General features: G+C 40.3%; 1 protein-coding gene across 18 annotated transcripts in view; it reads left to right on the top strand.

Annotated features, from left to right (window-relative positions):
• Positions 1–20,817, top strand: part of NCKAP5 (NCK associated protein 5) — a 1,003,049-nt gene that overhangs the window by 350,187 nt on the left and 632,045 nt on the right. Inside the window, exon 1 of one of the 18 annotated variants that reach the window (XM_017003977.3) lies at positions 16,837–17,786. The exons of the other annotated variants lie outside the window; for them this stretch is intronic. The gene's annotated coding sequence lies outside the window, so the exon portion shown is untranslated. Of the gene's footprint in view, positions 1–16,836; positions 17,787–20,817 lie in introns of those variants that run through there. 18 annotated transcript variants of the gene reach the window in all.

Here is a 20,817-nt window from a genome sequence, read left to right as displayed (position 1 = left end):
TGTGTGACTCTGCAACAAACTTTTATTTCGCTGAAATCAGGCCTTCTTTGTGACATCTAAGTGAAAACTTTAGAGGAAATTCTGGGAATTCCTCTGTGTGCTTCAGCAACTTGCCTGGGTTTCAGAACCACATCTCCCGGCCTCACAACTGCAGAGGCCAAAGAGAGGCTGAGGTTTCCCAAAGTCTTTCCGGCTATTCTGTCTGACTCAGCAGCCAGCTATAAAACAGACTTTCCTACCTCTGAAAAAACAAAAATCATTTAAAATATTTTTTATGTAATTCCAAGTAAATATTTTTAAAATGTTTTCTCAGTGAGTCAGTTTTGCTTTCACAAAATAAGCCTCAGAGAAACCTAAATGCCACTCAGGCCTCCTGCCCTCTCAATGTGGGGTGTTTATGATTCCCTTGAGCCATCCCCAGAGGTAGAATGCATCTGTTTGCACAGCAGGCCTGGTTTACGCCTCATCCAGTTCTGGCTTGTGCCGGGATAGGTGAGGTAAATTTCATGCAGTCTAGCCTTCTTTAAGTTTTCATCTCAGACTTTGGTTGTAGTTTGGAAACCTCCCGGAGCCAAAGGACATACGTGAAGGCAGGTATTTTTAGAAGCTGAACCTGGAAATGAGTATTTCTGTCTGGAGCTCAGAGTCTAACTCACATAGCTAGGACAACTTTGTGCCATCCCAGGAGTTTTGGGGAATTTCTTGGGACATAACACCAAATTGCTGATGCCAGGCCCTGGGTGAGAAAAATGGTTCTTATACTGAGAAACTGAGATCAACCAAAGGCTCAGGTCTTGTAGAAAAACATTAGGAATTGCTTTATTTATAACAGGTGTCCACAGAGCCTCAGCCTTTACAAATGTGATTTGGCTGGGACAGTGATTAAGTTCAATTTACCTCTCTGTCAGATTCCCCAGACAATCACACTGGTTCTGTCCATTTCTTTGGCTGCCAGTAGCGCCCCCATCTCCTGCTCCAACTGTATGCCAAGGACATAGGTGGCACAGGAGAAAGGTGTGCCTTGAGATGCAGTTGGCACTAATGAGAGCTGGAACACACTGAAGGGCAGGGATTTTGTATTTAATCCATTAACTTTTGTTAGGAACCAGTCATATAGTTCGCATATAATCATTCTCTCCTCTTTAACCCAGCCTATCCCTCCCTCAGTATTACCGTGACCCAAGCCTTGCTAACTTCATCAGCTTCTCCAACAAAGGATGAGGAGGAAAACCCTGAGATGCTGAAATAGGATAGATGCTAGCAGCTGGAATAAAAATATGAGAGGCAAAAGTGCAATATGATATGTAAATTGTTTCCCTGATCCATAGAACTAATGTTTGCTGAGATCTCTATGTCAGACACTGTTAATAATTTTTGCATGCATTTCCTGATTTAATTGATTTTTTCCTGATTTTACATGATCACGAAATAGAGTTAAAGAAAATTGCCAAATATCCATAAATGATATCAATTAAATAATTGAGATTTTTCCCTACTTTTAGGCAAACTTGGAACTATTTGAAAACACACTTGTTCACAAACCAACAAGTGTCCATTTGTTGAATGAATAGGTGGAAGGATAAATGAGGGAACTCTTACTTGCAGCTGGTCTAGAAGTTAAGAATATTGTCTGTCTTTCCATACTCAAAATCCTAGAGGCCCTAAAGACCAGTCTAGTAGTTCTCAAAGTGGTCCCTGGACAAGCAGCATCAACATCCACCTCACCTGATAATTTGTTAGAAATGCAAATTTTCAGGTCTCACCCCAGATGTGCTGAATCAGAAATTCTTGGGGGTGGGACCCTGCAGTCTGTTTTAGCAAGCTCTCCAGGTGGTACTAGTGCTGGCTGAGGTTTGCTAACCACTGATCTGGCCCCATCTCTTCATTTTATAAATAAGGAAATAGACCCAAAGTACTCAAGGTCCACATAGCTTCTATGTGTCCTAGGGTCTCATCCCCCAGGATAGATTCTCAAATGCAATTGTTAGAAGAATATCCTGGATGGGTGGTGAAAATTACTAGAAAGATAATTTTTCAACTTTTACTTTTAATGATTTAGTGTAACATTTTGTTTTCAACTACCCACTCAGATATTGTTACTTGAACTCTATGAGCCCAGGTTTCTCATCAGTAATACAGAGACAGACACACTGTTTTACTGGTATGTTGTAAAAGATAATTAAGCAAACTTTGTAATGGAGTGTTGAAAATAAAGTATCATGTAAAATGTAGTTTATCAATTATCTTTCCACAAGCTCACTCTCTAAGCTTTCATTTCTACCTGCCTCTGGATCTCAATCACAGATGATACCTTTTTGCTGTAAAATGTCTGTATCACTTACTGCATAGAACTTTCTTGCATCTATGCTTTGTCTCATTCTCCTAGGCTAACGGTGATGTTTTTAGCAAAGTACTATTTGCATAGTGGGTACAAAAATATTTGACTTAAGTATTGGTGTTTTTACAGGTTGGAAAGACTATGCCTATTAATAAAATCTATTAGCCTTTCTGCTAAATAAACCTTTATAAGATGGGCTTTACAAAAGTGACAAATGAGGGAATGACACTCACTTTACAGAATGACTTATGAGACGAAGTATGAAATGTATAAAAACTAGAAAAATGCACATTTTTATAGGTATATAATTTTTGATGTGGGCCAGGTTGCATGACTATTAAGTTTTACCTAATTAATATTGAGCTAAGACAAGGCATGGTTGAGAAGGCAGTACTAGCAAATGGAGTGAATTCAATTGATATTGTTTTGGAATTAAGAGTTCATCTGGCTATCCTGTTTGTGTTTTGTCTTGTTTTTTAGCTTAAGTGGGATAATGAGGAAAAGGGTTAAATGCATTGTATGTGGCTAGGGAATATTGGGTTATTGAGCTTGAGCTTTAGCAAGAACAAGGTGATTGAGCTATTTATTGAAACCAATGGAGTCAGGTACTTTTAACAGCCAGCCTCAACAGAAAACTGGACGTCTCTATGGGCAGCAAGGCATTCATTTCCCGCTTTTCTCTTCTTTTATAAAACATTTCTACCATGTCTGACTTTTCAGTCTAAGGGATAGATGTAGTCTTCAAATGTATGGCTTTGGGTTCCTTTTTGTCCTAAAATCATGCTACTAAAACCTAGTTTTGTCATTGTAAGCTTAATATGACAAAGTACTTGACAACTCTAGATTCTGTATCAACAGTATCTTGTGATCCTATGTGTAAAGACAACATGAATGTTCAGGTGCAGTCTTCACTTTTAATAGTAGGTTGCAAGGTATTTTTAGGTAAAACCTGGGACCTCCACAATGATCCGGTGTGGAGTAGGTATAAAGCAAGAATATAACTGAGCCTAACCTAGGTAAAGTGCTAGTCCCACTGAAGGGCACTGAGTCTAATCACAGATTGGGTGAGGGTGGGATGGGGGTGGCTGTGATGCAAACTGGTATCTTTGAGGCTCCGATCTGGGGAGGTGACAGAAGGAACCCTTTGTCAGTCCTCAGGCAGCTGGAAACCCCTTTATTCCTGAGCAGTCCACCTGGGATAAGGCAAGACATGGGTCAGTGATCAGGCTCACTGGATGGAGCCTCCACTTCTTTAGTGGATAGCAGATGAGCATACACGACTCCTGGGGTTAGGGCTAGTCTGCAGCACTAGAAGTTATGGCTAAGCCTACTCCAGTGAGGAATTTGAAGCATAGTTAGGAAAACTGACACCCACAGGAATGGGCAAACAGCCTGGGAGTCATGGGGAAACGTGTGATTGTGGTAGAGTGACCAACTCACCTGGTTTGCTCAGGACTTCTCCAGCGTCATCACAGAAAGTTTCATGCTATGGAACATGTCTCATTCCTGGCCAAATGGGAGTGGTCTACAAGTGGCCAGGAGGCATAAAGGGCCTTTTTCTTTTCTTTTTTTTTGTTTGTTTGTTTTGTTGTTTATTTGAGACAGAGTCTCGCTGGAGTGCAGTGGTGTGATCTCGGCTCACTGCAAGCTCCGCCTTCCGGGTTCACACCATTCCCCTGCCTCAGCCTCCCGAGTAGCTGGGACTACGGGTGCCCACCACCACGCCTGGCTAATTTTCTGTATTTTTAGTAGAGACGGGGTTTCACCATGTTAGCCAGGATGGTCTCGATCTCCTGACCTCGTGATCTGCCCACCTTGGCCTCCCAAAGTGCTGGGATTACAGGCGTGAGCCACCGCACCCAGCCAAGGGCCTAATTATTACATAGCCTGGCAAATATAGCAGACATAGGACTTTGACAGCGAGAGGAGGTCTAGAGAGCCCCGTGACAAGTGGGGACATTTACAGAGTGAGGCAGGAAGAGCCAACATGCTGGAAGTCCAAATTATCTCCAAATTGTCAGTCTGGGGCAGGAAGGGACTGAGCAGTAATTAGACTTTAGAGATATTCCAAAATAGAAGTTTGGCTTTGCTAGTCTGATAAATATTAAATGATAGCACTGAGTCCTTCCAAAATAATTAGAGGGTAAAAGAGTATCTGGCTAATGATAGCTGAGACAGCCTTAGTCCAAAAAGCACAACACTCCATTGCTTCTACTCCTTGTGATTTTTGCATCCATACATGTGCTGTCCAGAGTCAGAGAGCCCTCCCATCCCTTGTTGCAGTTGGTTTCGTTTGACCGGAATGAATAATAATCCTAAAGGCTGGAATTAGATTCACCTGCAGTTTACCCTCAATTTGCAGTCTTTCAGTCATAAAAATGAGGGTTCTTTTCATGTTAACTAGCCTTATTCTTGAGTGTGATTCGTTATTATAGCAAATTTAATTTTGCATGAAAAGCATGATAACTAATTATATAGCATTTGCATACTCAGAACAAATTCCCAAAAATATTTGCATAAGTTTCCTGATGTTCCGTTTGACTCTTTAACAACCTCATCATAGTAAATTGCCTTCCTAAATTGATTTAACACATCTGCCTTGTCTAAGAGTGGCTGATTTTCATGAAAAATAAGCATTAGAATAGTTAAATTACTATCCACTGGTAAGTGAACTGTCTGCGTTGCTATCCCAAATATGTATATTTTAAAAAGGAATTTCTGTCTTAGGTGACCGTCCCAATACAAAATTCTTACATGGTCCAGGTGTCTCTTCAAATCCCAAATAGTGCATAGTCCACTGATTGAATGGTTTTAGCTGCATAACGCTTTGAGAGGAGATACTTAAAAAAAAAGGTAACATCCCGGGTGCACCTGCATCATATTTATCATGGGTACTTCTCTCGTCCTGAAAAACAGCACCTAAATCATTAAGTACAAACATAGGCTTCACAGCAGGGCAGCTGTTGCTGGTTTTGCATTATTTTAATTAAACTTCAGTGTTTCACCTGATGCAAGGTCTGATTTCCCAGCCCTCTACCCTCAAAAATGAGATATTTTGAAAAGAAACCTTGAATTGTTCATCAATGCTGATAGTAATTCAAATTCACTATAGCGTCAAATGATTTATCTTGAAAATGCAGGGGGTGGAAGGGGGCGGGGGGGGAGGGGTGGCTCACACACCTGGAATGAATGATTGTAATGATGGGTTAATTTGACTATTGAAGAGTCGTTCTTAAGGTTTAGTGGATCAGAATCACCTGGAGGGCTCCTAAAACCATACATTGTTGGGCCCCTCCACCCCCAGAGTTCAGTGGGCCTGGGGAAAGGCCAGAGAAGTTGCATTTCTAATGAAATTTGCAGGTGATGTTAACAATGCTGGTCTGTGTCCATAGTGGGAGAACCGTTGCATTAGATCTTAATTGTCAGGATAATGTGTCTTTGTGAAGTGGGTGTTCAGTGGAGGCTAAGGGTACCATTTGGTCATCCCAGGTAGAACCCAGGGGAGCATACCAGCCACCATCATGTGAAGGGCAGCGCTGAGTTATTGCATTGCACCATTGCTCTTCCAGGGATGGACTGGCACAGAGACAGGGGCCCTGGGCACAAGGGCTTTCAACTTAAAAGTTGCCGTATGTCCCATTTCTCTCCAGATTTTCCAATGAGAAGGTTCAAAGAGTGCCACAGCTATATTCCATCACATATTTGGTTTGGCCCCTCAGGAGAGAAGAAACTTTTCTCCTGAATCGGATTCTCCACTGTCAGAACAAAATGGCTTTCTAATTACCTTTCAAACAAGGCAGCAGTGCTGTTTACATCAGGTTGTATCAGCCCTCCAGGTTACCACCTATAAAAGCACTTTTTAATCACAGTATTGGTAATCATTTTGTACCACAAGATATCTGTGGAACTTCTGAGGATAATCTCAAATTACTTCACATATTACAAGCTAGAGTTGAGAGCAGAAGAAGCCAAGAAACAGATTGTATTTAACGACAGTCTCTTTATTGGAAAAAAGAGAAGTATATGCTACTGAGTTGTTTATTTTGGGTGGGGCAGGGATGGGTATCTACTACTTCATAAATCCTTTCTCTCCATCTTCTTAAACCATCCTAAAATCTTCCCTGTATGATTGGCAATTGACTGAGGCATGATTCTCCTGAAAGCTGTTTATGCTGGTATTAGAGAATCAACTATGACATAGGCTCAGTCTCTGGAGGTAAAGTTGAAGGAGAAAAGGGTTCTGTAGTATCAGGAGTTCCTGTTTTCCCACTGTTTCCCTTTTCCACATTCTTCCTTGACAGGGCTTGCTAAGATAGCAAACGAGAAAGAGGAGCTGCACAGTGAAAATATACACAGCCCCCTGAAGGGATTCCTCTGTTTCCAGGAGGCAGAGGCCCTCATTCTTACTCTGCCACCCTTTTGTTTCCAGCTTGGCCTTTTCATGGTCAGATGTAAAGATCTGAAATGAGGATTGCCAGCCAGATGGGTCCTGCTTTGCACCTATACCCATTATACCAGTCCTGGTGTTGGCATAGGGCATCACATTGAAATACCAATTAACCAGTCCTTAGGAAGCTAAGTGTCTTTCTATAGAGTTGGCCTCTTTGTGGAGGATGTTGGGCAAGTTCAAGTGTTTTCAGCACTAAGTCGGCTACAGCTGGCGAAGGATGCAGGGCTCTCCACATAACATTAGAAGCCCTCTGAGTTGGCAGCCTTGACTGGAGAGCAGGTTCTATTGAATAGGCCTACAGTGTCTGCGGGGAGGTGCCCATGAATTCAGCCCTGGTGACGCCTCCACACCTGCACAGAACCCAACCCCAAAACCCCACCCAGCCTCATGGCTCTACCTCCTTAGATGGAAACTAATCCTCAGTAGAGAACAGTTCTTTATCTTGAGTTCAATCTCTCCTACCACTTGCTGGAAGGAGGGGGGTGGCCATGGAATACCATACTTAAATATCACACAGACGATTGCCCAAGAGGTCCCTCCTGCTCTTATGTTCAATCTGAGCTTGCAGTTTTTCCCAGTTCAGTCCTCATCTTCATGGTGATTTTATCCTGGATGTGTTTTGGGTTCTGGTTTTGCAGCTTTTGTCAATCAAATGGAAACTTCTTTCTGACTTCCAGAATGCTTTATGACTTTTGGTTTGCTTTCATGTTCTCTATTGGTGATACACGTTTATTTTTTGTGAGGGCATGTGCAAAATACTAGGTCTGAGAAGGTCTCTTCAGGCGCTCCATCCTTTATTTCCTGAGGCCAGTGGCAGGGAAATAAATGCCTATGGTCTCCTTAGTATATCTCTTAATATGGAGAAGAGATTTAGGGGTAAGAAGAAAACATGCTGGTCAGTCATGGTGATTCACTTGTTCTGCTGCCTTTTTGTTGGAGGAGAAGCAACAAGATAGAGCTAGTGTTTCTTTTCACCAAGACAAGTCAAACAGTGTTCAGCTGCTTAATACAAACAACAGCCTGCAGCCCATGACAGCCAGGAGAACTCAGATCTGGTCCATTACTTTTGTCTTCACATTTTTACCATGAAAATAGAGACATAAATGTGATCAGATCCTGGGCACCACCCATTCCCACCCAGCGGCAGTAGAGGCAGTCTTTGAAATACCTCACTCCAGGAGGAATGTTCGCTCCTCTTGGGTGATTTATGTTCAGTGCCCATAAGTAAGAAATGCAGTTTAACAGGCAACACACTGAAATCTGCACATCCACAAATGCTTTCTGGCTTAGAAAATAAAATCCAAGCAAGGTTTATGTGTTAGTGCATAAATGTATAATCTCCTCACACTGCAGGAAGTAACCTCTTTCTTGAGGGAAGTCTCTTAAAGATAAATATAAAAACGAAACAAAATTTTTAAATAGTTTGACGGTCCTCTTGTGTAGCAAAAGGAGTCTTCCTGGGATAGGCAGTCTAGGTTTTCCTAAAAGAGTTCCTAGATCCAACATGAGAAGCACCATCTGCTCTGTTTCTAAAAAGTCTTCATGTTTATCACCTTGTCCCCAATCTCATTTGAATGTCAAGAGAATCCAAGGCCCTGATTCACTTTGGTAGAATAGGTATTGGAGGTGTTTCAAGGAAAGGTTCAGTGTGTTGGTTGCATGGTGGTTGTGGCAGTTGGTTTGTTTTGTTGTGTTAAGTCATCGGAAATAACCAGAAATTCTGTTTGGGAGACCATTCTCCAAAAGTGTCCCAAGGAGAACTGGCAACATCCTCCTACAAGTTCTTGTTAAAATTACATCTCTGGGTCCCATCTTATTCCTAGACTTACTGAACCTGAATCTCTGGGATAGGACCTGGAATGCACCCTTTTCCCAAGGGCCTCCGTAGCCCCATGGTCTCTTGGAGACTGATTTTCAAGAATCACATGATATTTATGATATTTTCTGAAAAAGCTTTGTTCTTACTTGTTCTCCCTACCCTTGGCATAAAATTTTGTCTTTATTCTTCACCTTTCCCCAACCTCTACCCCAAGTGAGGTATTTGGAAAGGCTCCTCCACTGAAACTGTTTTTGTCGGGCCGCTAATGGCCACTATATTGGCCAATTTGGTGGCCAATTTGGGGGCCTGTCTTACTTGACCACTGATTGTATTTAACACTACTTTCTTCTTAGAACACCTTCTCCTGTTCCTCCCTCACTGGCCTCTCCTTCATTTACTTTTTTTTTTTTCTCCTCTCAACCTCCAAGTACTAGGTCCTTTTTTCTTTACTGTGGTTCCTTCCTCAGGTAATCCCATTCGATGTCACGGCTCCATGTTTATATCCATACACACTGGAATCCAAAATTCTTGAGCACTAACGACCTGGTTGACATCTACTCTTTCATATGTAATGACGTCACAAACTTCACTGCCAAAGGAGAACAATTTATTCAACACCCCTTGCACAAATTTACCCCAAAATAGCACATTATCCAACTGCTCAGGCCCCAAATCAAATATTATCTTCGATTTTTATTTTATTTCATATCCCACATTGAATCCATCATGAAGTTCTGTTACCTCCATCTTCGAAACAGATCCTGAATCCAACAACTTAGCATGATTCTCCTGGTGACCTCCCTAGTGAAAGTGATGTTGATCTCCTTCCAGTGGCCTCAGCTGCTCCTGCCCCTGCCCCCTATTCCTTCAGTCAACAGCAGCCAGAAGGATCCATTCAAGACTTAAGTGATACCATTTGACTCCTCAAATCAAATCCCACTGCAATTGTTCCCTATGTCACTGAGAACAAAATGCAAAGTCCCTACAAGGGCTTATGCAGCTGTGATGATCACCCTCCTCCCCTCACCCCATCTCTGCACTCCAGCCACACTGGCCTCTGTGCTGTTCCTGCAGCATGCCGGCACACATTCCTGCCCCTAGAGTCCTTTACGCTGGTTTTGTCTGCCTAGAATGAGCCTCCCAAAGTAGCCACCTCGGTTAGTTCCGTCACTTCCTTTAGGTGTTTGCTCAAATGTCTTCAGTGTGGTCTTCCTCCACCAGTCTATGTTGATGCCACCCCTCTACTTCAGCCCCTCCTTTCCTCTTCTCTATTTTGTTTTTCCACTTACCTCCACTTATTTTGTCTGTCTCCCTCACAAAAATGTTACCTTCATGCAGGCAGAGACTTGCCTGCACTGTACATGGCTGTATTGCCCAGACCTTGAAGAGTGCCTGAACATAATTAACCCTTGAAAATATTTGCAGAATAATTGCATCTGGCATTATTTACACTGGCCTTATTAATCTCTTTAGGAGGACAGTGGGTGGTAATCGGGGTAATCAGTAAACTAATCCTGGTTACCATAAGCCAGTGATTTACAGAGTGGTCCCCAGACCAGCAGCATTAGAAACACCTGGGAGCTTCTCAGAGATGCAAAATATCAGGCTCCATTGCATGCCCACTGAATCAAACTCTGGGGTCAGGACCCAGTAATCTGTGTTTTAACTAGCCCACCAGGTGACTCAGATGAACAGATGGGAGCCATAAGTAGCAGCAAACAAATGTGTTTTCCCTACTTGATGCCGTAACCCAATTCCAGTTTCTAGAAACCCTGGTTTCTAGAAATGCCTTGCCATCTATTATTTGCAGGTCTTGTGCTAGGTGCTGAGACTGCAAAGAACTTATAACTTGGCCTGTTCAGAAAAAGCAAGGAGCCTGGCTTCACTGGACTCCCAGGATAGCTTTGGGGAGTAATGGGAGAGAAAATTAGAACATACCTGGCCAGATTTTGAATGATATTGATAATCATAGGCTCAGGCGGTCCTGATATACTGTAGTGAATGAAATGGCAGTCCGTGATCCAGTATTTGGGTAGAAGGAAATGTCTGAAAGTACAGTGTACTGATGCAATGGATCATTGGTCAATTCCTGCTGTGTGTGGATGTAATGCTGGGATTTAAATTAGTCTTTGAACTTTCCATGGCCAAATTCTTTCATGTAGAGTAGCTGGGGTCCTAAGACTTTTCACTCATATAAGGCTCTACCAGTGTTTCTCCATCAAATGAAAAATAGAGGTTGAAATGAGGACTCTTCTAATTATGTCATTTGTATTTTTATGGTGACTTTTTAAAAACATACACAATTACTGCCATGCTGACAAATGACATGTTACTGACTTGCAGAACTTGAGGACAGTTGAATTAGTTTTTATTTCTACCTCAGAAAAAAAAAACAAAAACAAAATAAGTGAACTTATTTTTTCCACCTAAATGAATTCCTTCATTTGACCAATATATGTTTATCTCCCAAGCTGCTATAGAAACAATATTTAAGAAAATAGTACAGGCTGCTGAGAAATACAATAGTTACTATTTTGCTGAAAAATAAGTATAACTCTTTTTACCTAAAAAAGAATATCTAAGTATTAGTAATAGCATCTTTGTCAAATATAACTAAAAATTGTTTAACTTTTGTGTAGATTTATTTCATTATTATTAATAGAATAGAATACTGAATGGGAGAATACAACTTAACTTCTGCCCTCACCCTCATTGCACTAGGGCAGGGAAATCAAAGTGGAACCAAAGCCAAACTTACACAGATGCCCAATTGGTAGAATTTGAAAACTCATTTCTTGATTTTTGTTTTATGGCTTTGCATCTAGCCAGATTCCCCCCAGCACACACTACAAATTGGTGGAGAGGGCTGCGGTGGAGGGGGTCATTCTGTAGCTAGTTTCCATCTAACCAACATAAAATCCACTCTGAGGGCAGTTAGCTGTGGGAAGGGCATTCTTTAGGGCAGTGAAAAAATGTGCTGAACTGAGCAAAAACAGACTTTTAAAGTCTGTTATTGTCTGACCCTAAGCAAATTACTTAACCATAATCTGAGCATTAGTTTTCTAAATTGAAATGGTGACCATGACTCAAAGATGTTGTGAGGCTTAAATGTGAATGGATGTCAAAGTGCTTTGGAAAACTATAACATCTACAAACAACATCAATCAATAAAGTAATATAGAGATGACTGCTGCTTCGTATTTCACAGTTTGCCATGTTAACTTTGAAAAGAATTGACCAATATTTATATTACTTGTAGCATAGGCTAGGTGTACAGTAACAAAGAAAGCCCAAAATACAGTGTTTTAATTAAGATAGGAATTTATTTCTATCTTATTTAGGCCAAAGGGAGGTAGAAAGACTAGGGTCAGTAGATAGGTGCTCTAAGAACTATCACTTTAGCTATCCTTAGCATGTAGGACTGTCTCTGAGCCCAAGGCTTCACCGTTTCTGGCCAGGGGAAGAGTGCACAATAGGCAGTGTCTTGTCTTTAGGCTGGGGATTTCCTGGATATTGCACAAACCATTTCTGCTTACCTCTCTTTGGCTTGAACTCAGGCACGTGTTCACCCCAAGAAGCACAGGAGACTGGGAAACATAATTTCTAGCTTGGGAGCAGTGTGTCCAGCTACAGCTGGAGAGAGATGGGGGATTTTTTTTAAAAGGGGAAAAATATCTAATAGGGAACAGTTAAGCAGTATCCAACAAATTGAAGTATGTTTTACTCTGAAGATCTGCTAAGCTGTACTCATAGTCTGATCGGCATTAGTCTACTGCCTTGGTACCAAATAACAGGTCACGAGGCTTTTCAATGGTCTCATGTGCTATCTGTCTAAATTCTGTCACTGTTAATTCATACTGATGAAATTTCCATATATGACAGAGGTTATAAAGAGATGTTTTCACTCTGTGCAGTTTGCTAGTCATCATGCTTTCTTATCATCAGTTATCTCTCCATTTGAAAGCAAATTTTGGTTGTGAATTTTACTGTGTTGAAATCTTTGACAGCTCATGTGATTTACATGCCATAGATGAGCAATGTACCTAAATTTTTCTCAGAGTTGCAAGATTAGAAAAACGCACTTATTTTGTGAAATTATCAATAGTTTGGAATGTCATTTCTGGCTAGTACCAATAGAATAAAATCATGAGTAAAAAGTAATTTAGAAAACTGCTAGGATTAAATATATATATTCGGTCTCTGCTTCCCAGTTTCTGGCACAGAACTCCTAAAACCCTTGTAGATAGGGTACTAGGATAACCTTTTGTTCTAATATTTGGTCTTTGACTCCTGGTTTCTGACACAGAGATCCTAAAACGTTTCTTATTTTCTGAGTGATAACATCTGGCACAGAGCTCTTAAATCCCTTAGAATTTTCTGGGTGATAGGATCATCTTTTGTTCTATTTAGAAGACTGTGGGCTCCTGGATAGCCTCAGGATGGGGGCTGGTTGCCAGGAGAGCCAAACATGTGATTAAAGGGTTGGAACTTTCAGCCCTACCTACCAAGCTCTGGTTGAGTTGACCACCAATGGCCAATGATGTAATCAGTCATTCCTACCTAATACATCCTCCATAAAACCCAGGAGGACTGGGCTCAAGGGGCTTCCAGATAGCTGAACTCATGGAAGTTCCTGGAGGGCAGTGTGCCAGGAGAGAGCATGGAAGTTCTGAACCCCTTCTCCCATACCTCGTCCTATGCAGCTCTTCCATCTAGCTGTTTATCTGTATCGTTTGTAATATCACTTACAATAAATGGGTAAACCTAAGTAAAATGCTTCCTTGAGTTCTGTGAACTGCTGTAGCAAATTAATCAAGCTTGAGGATGTTGTGGTGGGAACCCTGATTTATAGCTGGCTGATCAGAATTATAGGTGGCAGCCCACTGTGGTACTTGTGATTGGTGTCTGAAGCCGGGGCAGTCTTATGGGACTGAGCCCTCACCCTGAGGGATGTGATGCTATCTCCAGGTAGATCGTGTCAGAATTGAGTTAAATTTTAGGACACCTAGCTGGTGTCTGCTGGAGAATTGTTTGGTTGACGTATAGGGAAAAATTCCCATTCATCTGCTGTCAGAAGCATCACATTGAGTGGTGTATGAGAGGAGAGGGAAAACAAAACAAAAACACTGTTTCTGCCATCTTGTCATGACTGCCTAATGTCTCCATGATCATCAAAACCTTTACAAGTAAAAGTTTTGGAAGACCAAGACCACTTATAGCCTAATCTCAGATTCTCTCATGAGCCTGGTTACATCCAGACAATTAATTCACTCTTTCACTTACTTAACACACCTTTGAGTGCTTGAGATGTTCCAAGGGCTGTGGTAGGTGTTGGAGGACACAGAAATGAAGGATGGCCTACTCGAAAGAGTATGTGGCACATCCAAAGGGACCTGTTTGGGAAATAGCCAGACTCACAGGATTGGACCTGCAGAGCGTGATTGAGCAGCACAGGCCATGCTGGACCTCAGAGTGATGGAATACGGGGAGACACTTTCAGAGAATACCAGGGAGGGAGAGTATGATTTTAAAATGTGAAGTGCTGTAGGCACTGGTCATAAGACAAGGACCAAGCAAAATCCTGGGATTCCACCTTGCGGAGGCCATCATTTGCTCTAATGGGAAAGCTCCACTAGAAAGTCTGCCTTAGAAGCCAGGTTGCAGCTGTTTGAGGAGGCAATGGGAAAGAGGAATTCAAGATGGCTGATGCTAAGATGGCGGTGGGAGGATGGATCTGTTCAAGCTGGGACTCCTAAATTGATTTGCTTGTGGTGTTTAACATTTAAAAAAGTCTCCTCGGAAGAATTTATATTGGTACAGATGCCAGTTAGTTATGAGACACCTTTCTATTTATTACCTTGTCTGTATAGTTCCCAAAGTGGGTATTTTATTTGAGTTTTTTGCATTCACCATGCAGGTATACCTTTTTATTAAGAGAAGAACTGATGCCCTCCCCCGCTTAAAAATTACTTTGTTGTGGTAGTTAGTCATTTCCTAATTGCAGATAGTTGTGTTGATTTGAACAGCTGGCCGCCTTGCTGGTGCTGCTTTGCCCAAAGGTGAATTGGGGATTCTATGTTACTAGTCACAAAATTGCTGGCAGGATTTCACAAGCTCTGCCATAAGTTATGCTGATTATAATACGAAGATTATTTGGAGGGATTTTTGGATCTCTGCAAGCTTTGATACACGATTTTATTTTAAACTCCACTTAATATGAATGATACTTAAGATCCTCACATCATTAGAATTCATTTATAATGGGCCTCTCTCAGAACTGACCTATTTCAGACAATAGGAGATTCACATTAAATGGGCTTATGCTACAAAGACCTGCAATGTTCAGTGTATCTATAAACCTCTAATCACTTTAAATGTTTCATACTAATTGCCCTGAAACATGTGCATTAAAAGAAGTGAAAGGCAAACTTCCTGAAATATATCTCTAAAATGATTCTAATTTGCATAAGTTTTAGCCAGGGAACAGATGTCTTTTTAATGCTGTACCTTTGTAAAATTTTTAAAACATAAAATATGACTTGGTGTAACTTGGTGCCCCCCACCTTCAGCCCCCTTAATCCTAACTTTGGTGAAATGCTTTTATCAGAACACTAACGAGGGCAAGTGGAAAGGGGGGTTCATTGTTTCAAACATGAGCCTAGCTTTAGAATAATATAAAGGAAATGGTTTCCTTGTGGTATTTCAGATCAAGCTTTCTAAAATTTATAATCAAATCTTCATGGACATTATTTTCTGGGACTGTATTTTTCTATATAATATCCATTACTTTAAATTTTTATAATGAGCATATAGTTTTGTAAAACTATAGACAAAGAAAAAATTTACAGAAGAAAATTAAATTAGCCCATAATATTACCATTTACTGTAGGATATTACTTTTAATCTTTCATATATATTTTCTAAATTGTGATAAGAGGGATTGTGCAGTTTTTTTATCCTTCTTTCACTTAGCATTACACTGTTTTCTACTTTATTATATATTCTTTACAAAGTTTAAGAATTGTATTTCTTCGGCCGGGCGCGGTGGCTCACGCCTGTAATCCCAGCACTTTGGGAGGCCGAGGCGGGTGGATCATGAGGTCAGGAGATCGAGACCATCCTGGCTAACAAGGTGAAACCCCGTCTCTACTAAAAATACAAAAAATTAGCCGGGCGCGGTGGCGGGCGCCTGTAATCCCAGCTACTCGGGAGGCTGAGGCAGGAGAATGGCGTGAACCCGGGAAGCAGAGAGCTTGCAGTGAGCCGAGATTGCGCCACTGCAGTCCGCAGTCCGGCCTGGGCGACAGAGCAAGACTCCGTCTCAAAAAAAAAAAAAAAAAAAAAAAAAAAAAAGAATTGTATTTCTTCAAACGAAAAAAGCATGCTTTATTTTAATTATTTCTATAGTTTTGGAAAATAAGACATACCCAGTCTTTTCATATTGTCACAAATAGTATTTCAATGAATATCATTTGCTTTCATCTGATTATTTCCTCAGGCTGATTTCTAGACAGGGAGTTTCTACATCAAAAGGGCACGGATGTCTTAAAATCACAACATGGATCACCAAATTGCTTTCCCCAGTTGTACATACACAGGCAAAACACACCCTTATACTTAAGCATTTTTTATTATCGAGTCAAAAATAGAACAATAGCCGGGCGCGGTGGCTCACGCCTGTAATCCCAGCACTTTGGGAGGCCGAGGCGGGCGGATCACAAGGTCAGGAGATCGAGACCATCCCGGCTAAAATGGTGAAACCCCGTCTCTACTAAAAATACAAAAAATTAGCCGGGCGTGGTGGCGGGCGCCTGTAGTCCCAGCTACTCGGGAGGCTGAGGTGGGAGAATGGCGTGAACCCGGGAGGCGGAGCTTGCAGTGAGCCGAGATCCCGCCACTGCACTCCAGCCTGGGCGACAGAGCGAGACTCCGTCTCAAAAAAAAAAAAAAAAAAAAAAAAAAATAGAACAATAATTTCTTCCCCTATATTCAAAGTGATTTATGCACCCTTCTATTAACAGTTCCCTCTTTCTTTCCCTCTTGTCCTCCTTCTGCCCATCACAAAAATAGATAATGTATATTCCACTTTTTCTCTCTGGGATTTTATGTTTGTTTTGTAATTACTTTTTAAAACATCTTTTTGGGGGGATGAACCTCCTTTGAAGCCTCTTTTTATATTGTGAATTCCATATTTTTTTATTCTTTGCTCAGGTATTACATATGTGCATAGATAATGCATAGTATATGTACATATACTTACCTGCACACAGACACCTTTTGGTTATACACATATGCATAAAAACATAAGTTTTTAATTAAAAGATGTAGGTCCTGTATTTTATGAATTCATGAATGCCTGAGAATGTCTTTCTGTTGCTTTGTTATATAGGAGCTACTTAATTGGGAATAATATTTATGGTTTGTCTATAAACTAATTTCAATGGGCATTTGGGGTGGCTGGAAGCTATGGAGCTATGTGGTTTTGCTCCTTGTTGAGCTATAAGCATTCAAACAAGTCCCCCTTTTTTTTCTTCACTATTTTTTTTCAACTCTTGTGCCAATAGATGTGTGGATTGTTTTCCGTTAACTCTACCTGGAAAGTGATGAGTCCTTTTGATGTACATAATCACGTCCTTATTTTTTCCCCTGTGCTGAAATATTTCTTTATCCCTTTGTTTGTTGTTTGCATTTCAAATCTTATCAAGTACTCAAATTCTATCATTGTTTGACAAACTGATATTTTCTGGCCTTTTTATCAATCACATCTGCATTCATTTTCATCCTTATCCTTTATTTCTTAATTTAGTTACAGATTAAGTTTATCCTCCTCAGGACTGTATGTAAGTTTTCGTTGTCAATTCTACTGTTTATTGTATCTAAGGTGGGTTTCGTAATTCTAACAGAAACCAGTAGAATAGGATGTTCATCAAGTTAGTAACAATAGTTTAATAGTATCTTTGTGCTGAATGAGGTAGGAAGTTGCATGCTGAACAAAGCAAGGCTTGGGAAATTGATATTTTTCATAGATATGTGTTAGGAATAGTGAACACTGACATCAAGGGATATGTGGATATGGGTGTTTATTTTTTCTCCCTAGATGACAGGATGCTTGCTCTTCACTAACTGAATGATACGTACACTAATTGACTTATACTGTAGAAATAGGAGAAGAGGAGTATGTAAGTACCTGGCCTGGGTTGGGGAATTTGATTGTTTCCCAAATGAGATATTGAGAAATAGACTTTCATCTGTATGAACGATTCAGTGCCAATACACCAAAACCTGTTGCCTGCTTTCTCTGAAGCACCATTTCATGGTAGGGAGAGTCACCTCATAATAAGAATCACAGGACAGCAATAAATAGATTTCCATTCTGCCTGTAAGGTGTATGTTGCCCTGAAATTCTTAGCTCACTCAGCCCTGTCTTTATTTTATGTCATTTTATTATCTTGGCTGCTCACCCTATTATCTTTTAAAATCTAATTCTGCTGTCTTTTCATCTCAACATTAAAAAAGAACTTTCTTCACATGTGTCAGAGAGACCACATCTTTCTGGATACTAGTCAGCATGTCTGAGGCTCTTTCTAAAATGCTTACATATCTTTCTTATGTAAATAATTTTCACCGTCACACCCTCTTTTATGATTAAGGATCATGTCCTCTCTCTTGTCCTACAGTACTTGTTCATGGGTTCCATGTTGCATTTTTTCAGTTTACTCTGAAAAAATCTCTCTGGACCTTTTCTTTCGCCTTTGCAGGCATGCTGGGATACTGAAGTCTCTGTACAATAACCTCCTGTATGTACTTGCTCCCAAAGCTCTTGCAGCCACTGTGCCAATAGCATTTTACTTATGGTGACCATAGTTTCCTCTTAACCACTGCCAGCCCCAATGCTACCACCCTCCATTGTTTTCTTGGAGTTAATCTCCAAAGGGATCCACAAAATTCCCCCTAGGAGTAATCCTATTTTATAATCCTATGATAGTGTTTTCACATTAGGTAACTAACTTTTCCAGTTCAGGGTCCAGAAATGATACAGGTATGAAGGTACTTCCTATTTCAGGTTGAGCAAAAACAATTTCACTTAACAAAAAATATATGTAAGATTAATGTCTCTTTTCGCAATCCATTTTTGTTAGCGTTATATTGAGGCAATACCTTAATAAATAAGTAAAATATATTGAATGTTGGAAGTAAGAATGCCATAGAGAAAAAATAAAGCTGAAAAGAGGGATGAAGAATCAATAATCTTAGTTTCCCATTTTTAAGTGGTTTAAGATTTGTCATCATAGTTATTTATATGGAAAACAGGATAAAGCTAGTTTAAATGGAAGCAGCTAGTATTTTTATTTGAAATAGCTTTGAAATCACAAGCCAGTGACAACTACATTCAGATTAGAGATCAGTATTATCAATCTCTGCCTAACTGCCTATTCTAATATTTAGTGTGTATAACCTAAGAACTGTACACTTAAAAATCTTGAAGTTTGGCAAGAGAAGAGAAAATGAATAATGCCTTCACCTTGTAAAGTGATCTTCCTTTTGAAAAGAGGTACATAATACTCTGAAAAAGGCCATGCTTGCTATTTGGCAGTCATGATGGTATGTATGTACTTAAACTTCTTGTTTAACACTTACAATGCCTCCATAAATGAAGCATTATTTATCCCTCTGACGAAGATGAAGAAACTAAGGCTTAGAGAGATTTAATAATGTGACCAGGGGAACATAGCTAGTAAGTATCAAAACCAGGATTTGAACCTCAGTCTCTTTGATACTAAAGTCTCATTTGTCATCACTACACCTTTCAGCTTCAACTTCTGACTTGAGATAATCAGAATGAACAAAATGACAAGTCCAAGCTGCTTTCTAAGGCTTGCACATGATTTGGTCCTGCCTAACTGTCCAACTTCATTTTAGACCCAGTATCCCTGAGTCCCTGTTCCCAGCACCCACTGGCTTCCTTCTGTTCCTCCAACAGCACATTTCAGGACCTTTGTATATGGTGTTTTCTCTGCCTGTAATGTCTGGCTCCCTTTTCTCTATATGGTTTCCTTCTCCTCTTCCAAGTCTTAGCTCAAATATCACTTGCTTAGAGTCTTCTTCTGGAGTCTTCACGTGACAAAGCTGCTCCTCCCAAAGTCTTTCCTATCACCTGTTTACTTCATAGCACGTAACCAACATGAAACGAATCCGTTCACTTATTTAGTATAACCCCTTTGACAGACTGTAAGCTCCTTGAGGGCAGTGGCTTTCCCCCTCTTGATGATTACTGTATCTGCAGCACTTAGAACAGCTCTTCGCATCTAACAGATGTTTAAAAATAGTTGTTAAGTGAAGAAAAAATGAATAACTTTAAGATCTGTACATTTATTTCTACTTGGGAACAACGTATTTAGTTTTTCTTGGCTGAACATATTTGAGAATTCATGTATTTGATAGTGTCAAGTGTTCTAAATCATGGTTTAGCCTTGATCAGGACAGTTAAAAGCGTAACCATGTATGTTGCAACTTCCTGCAGTAGCAGAGCTTTCTGCTTTGTTTTTAACATTCCCAGTGGTCTTGTTTAAATAACTATTGAGTAGTCACCTGAAAATAAATGTTTATTCAATAAGCATAAAACTTCTTAGCTAATTATCTATAACAGAATTACAGTATCTTAGAATCATAACAGTTTTTAGCTAGACAAGGACTTAGTATACCCTCTAGTCTAACAAACATTTTGGGAAGGTAAAAAAGGCTTTTCAAGGCCGCATGGGTAGATCCAGGATCAAAAGAAATCAGGACTGGTCCCTTTCCATTATATGGGATCAACTCCTGTCTTTCTCCCAGCCCCTCACCTTATTATAGTGAATATTTCTATAAGAGCAGTATATTATGTATAGCATTTCAAAAGAAACCTATATTTCTGAAAGAAAAATGTCACTGTTAATCAAAGTTCCCAGTTTATTTCAAATCTATAGAAATGGAACTCTAGCTTTCTTGGGTGCCTTAACATTGAAATCATTGAATACTGTTCCATCGACGGCTGCTATAATGTAGAAGCAGAGGCCTGCACGGTAGACCTCTAAACAGAAAGGGAATAAAATACCAGATTCAGAGGAAAACAATACAAAAGAATTTGTATAGGTTGTATTTGCTCCAGGTTAGCAAAGGAAACACCATTGCATATGAGCCTCGTATGCAGAAATCACAAATTAAATCCATTGT

The sequence above is a fragment of the Homo sapiens genome, chromosome 2, assembly GCF_000001405.40.
Source record: "Homo sapiens chromosome 2, GRCh38.p14 Primary Assembly".
NCBI classification, from domain to species: domain Eukaryota; kingdom Metazoa; phylum Chordata; class Mammalia; order Primates; family Hominidae; genus Homo; species Homo sapiens.
This window is presented reverse-complemented; position numbering and strand designations above follow the sequence as displayed.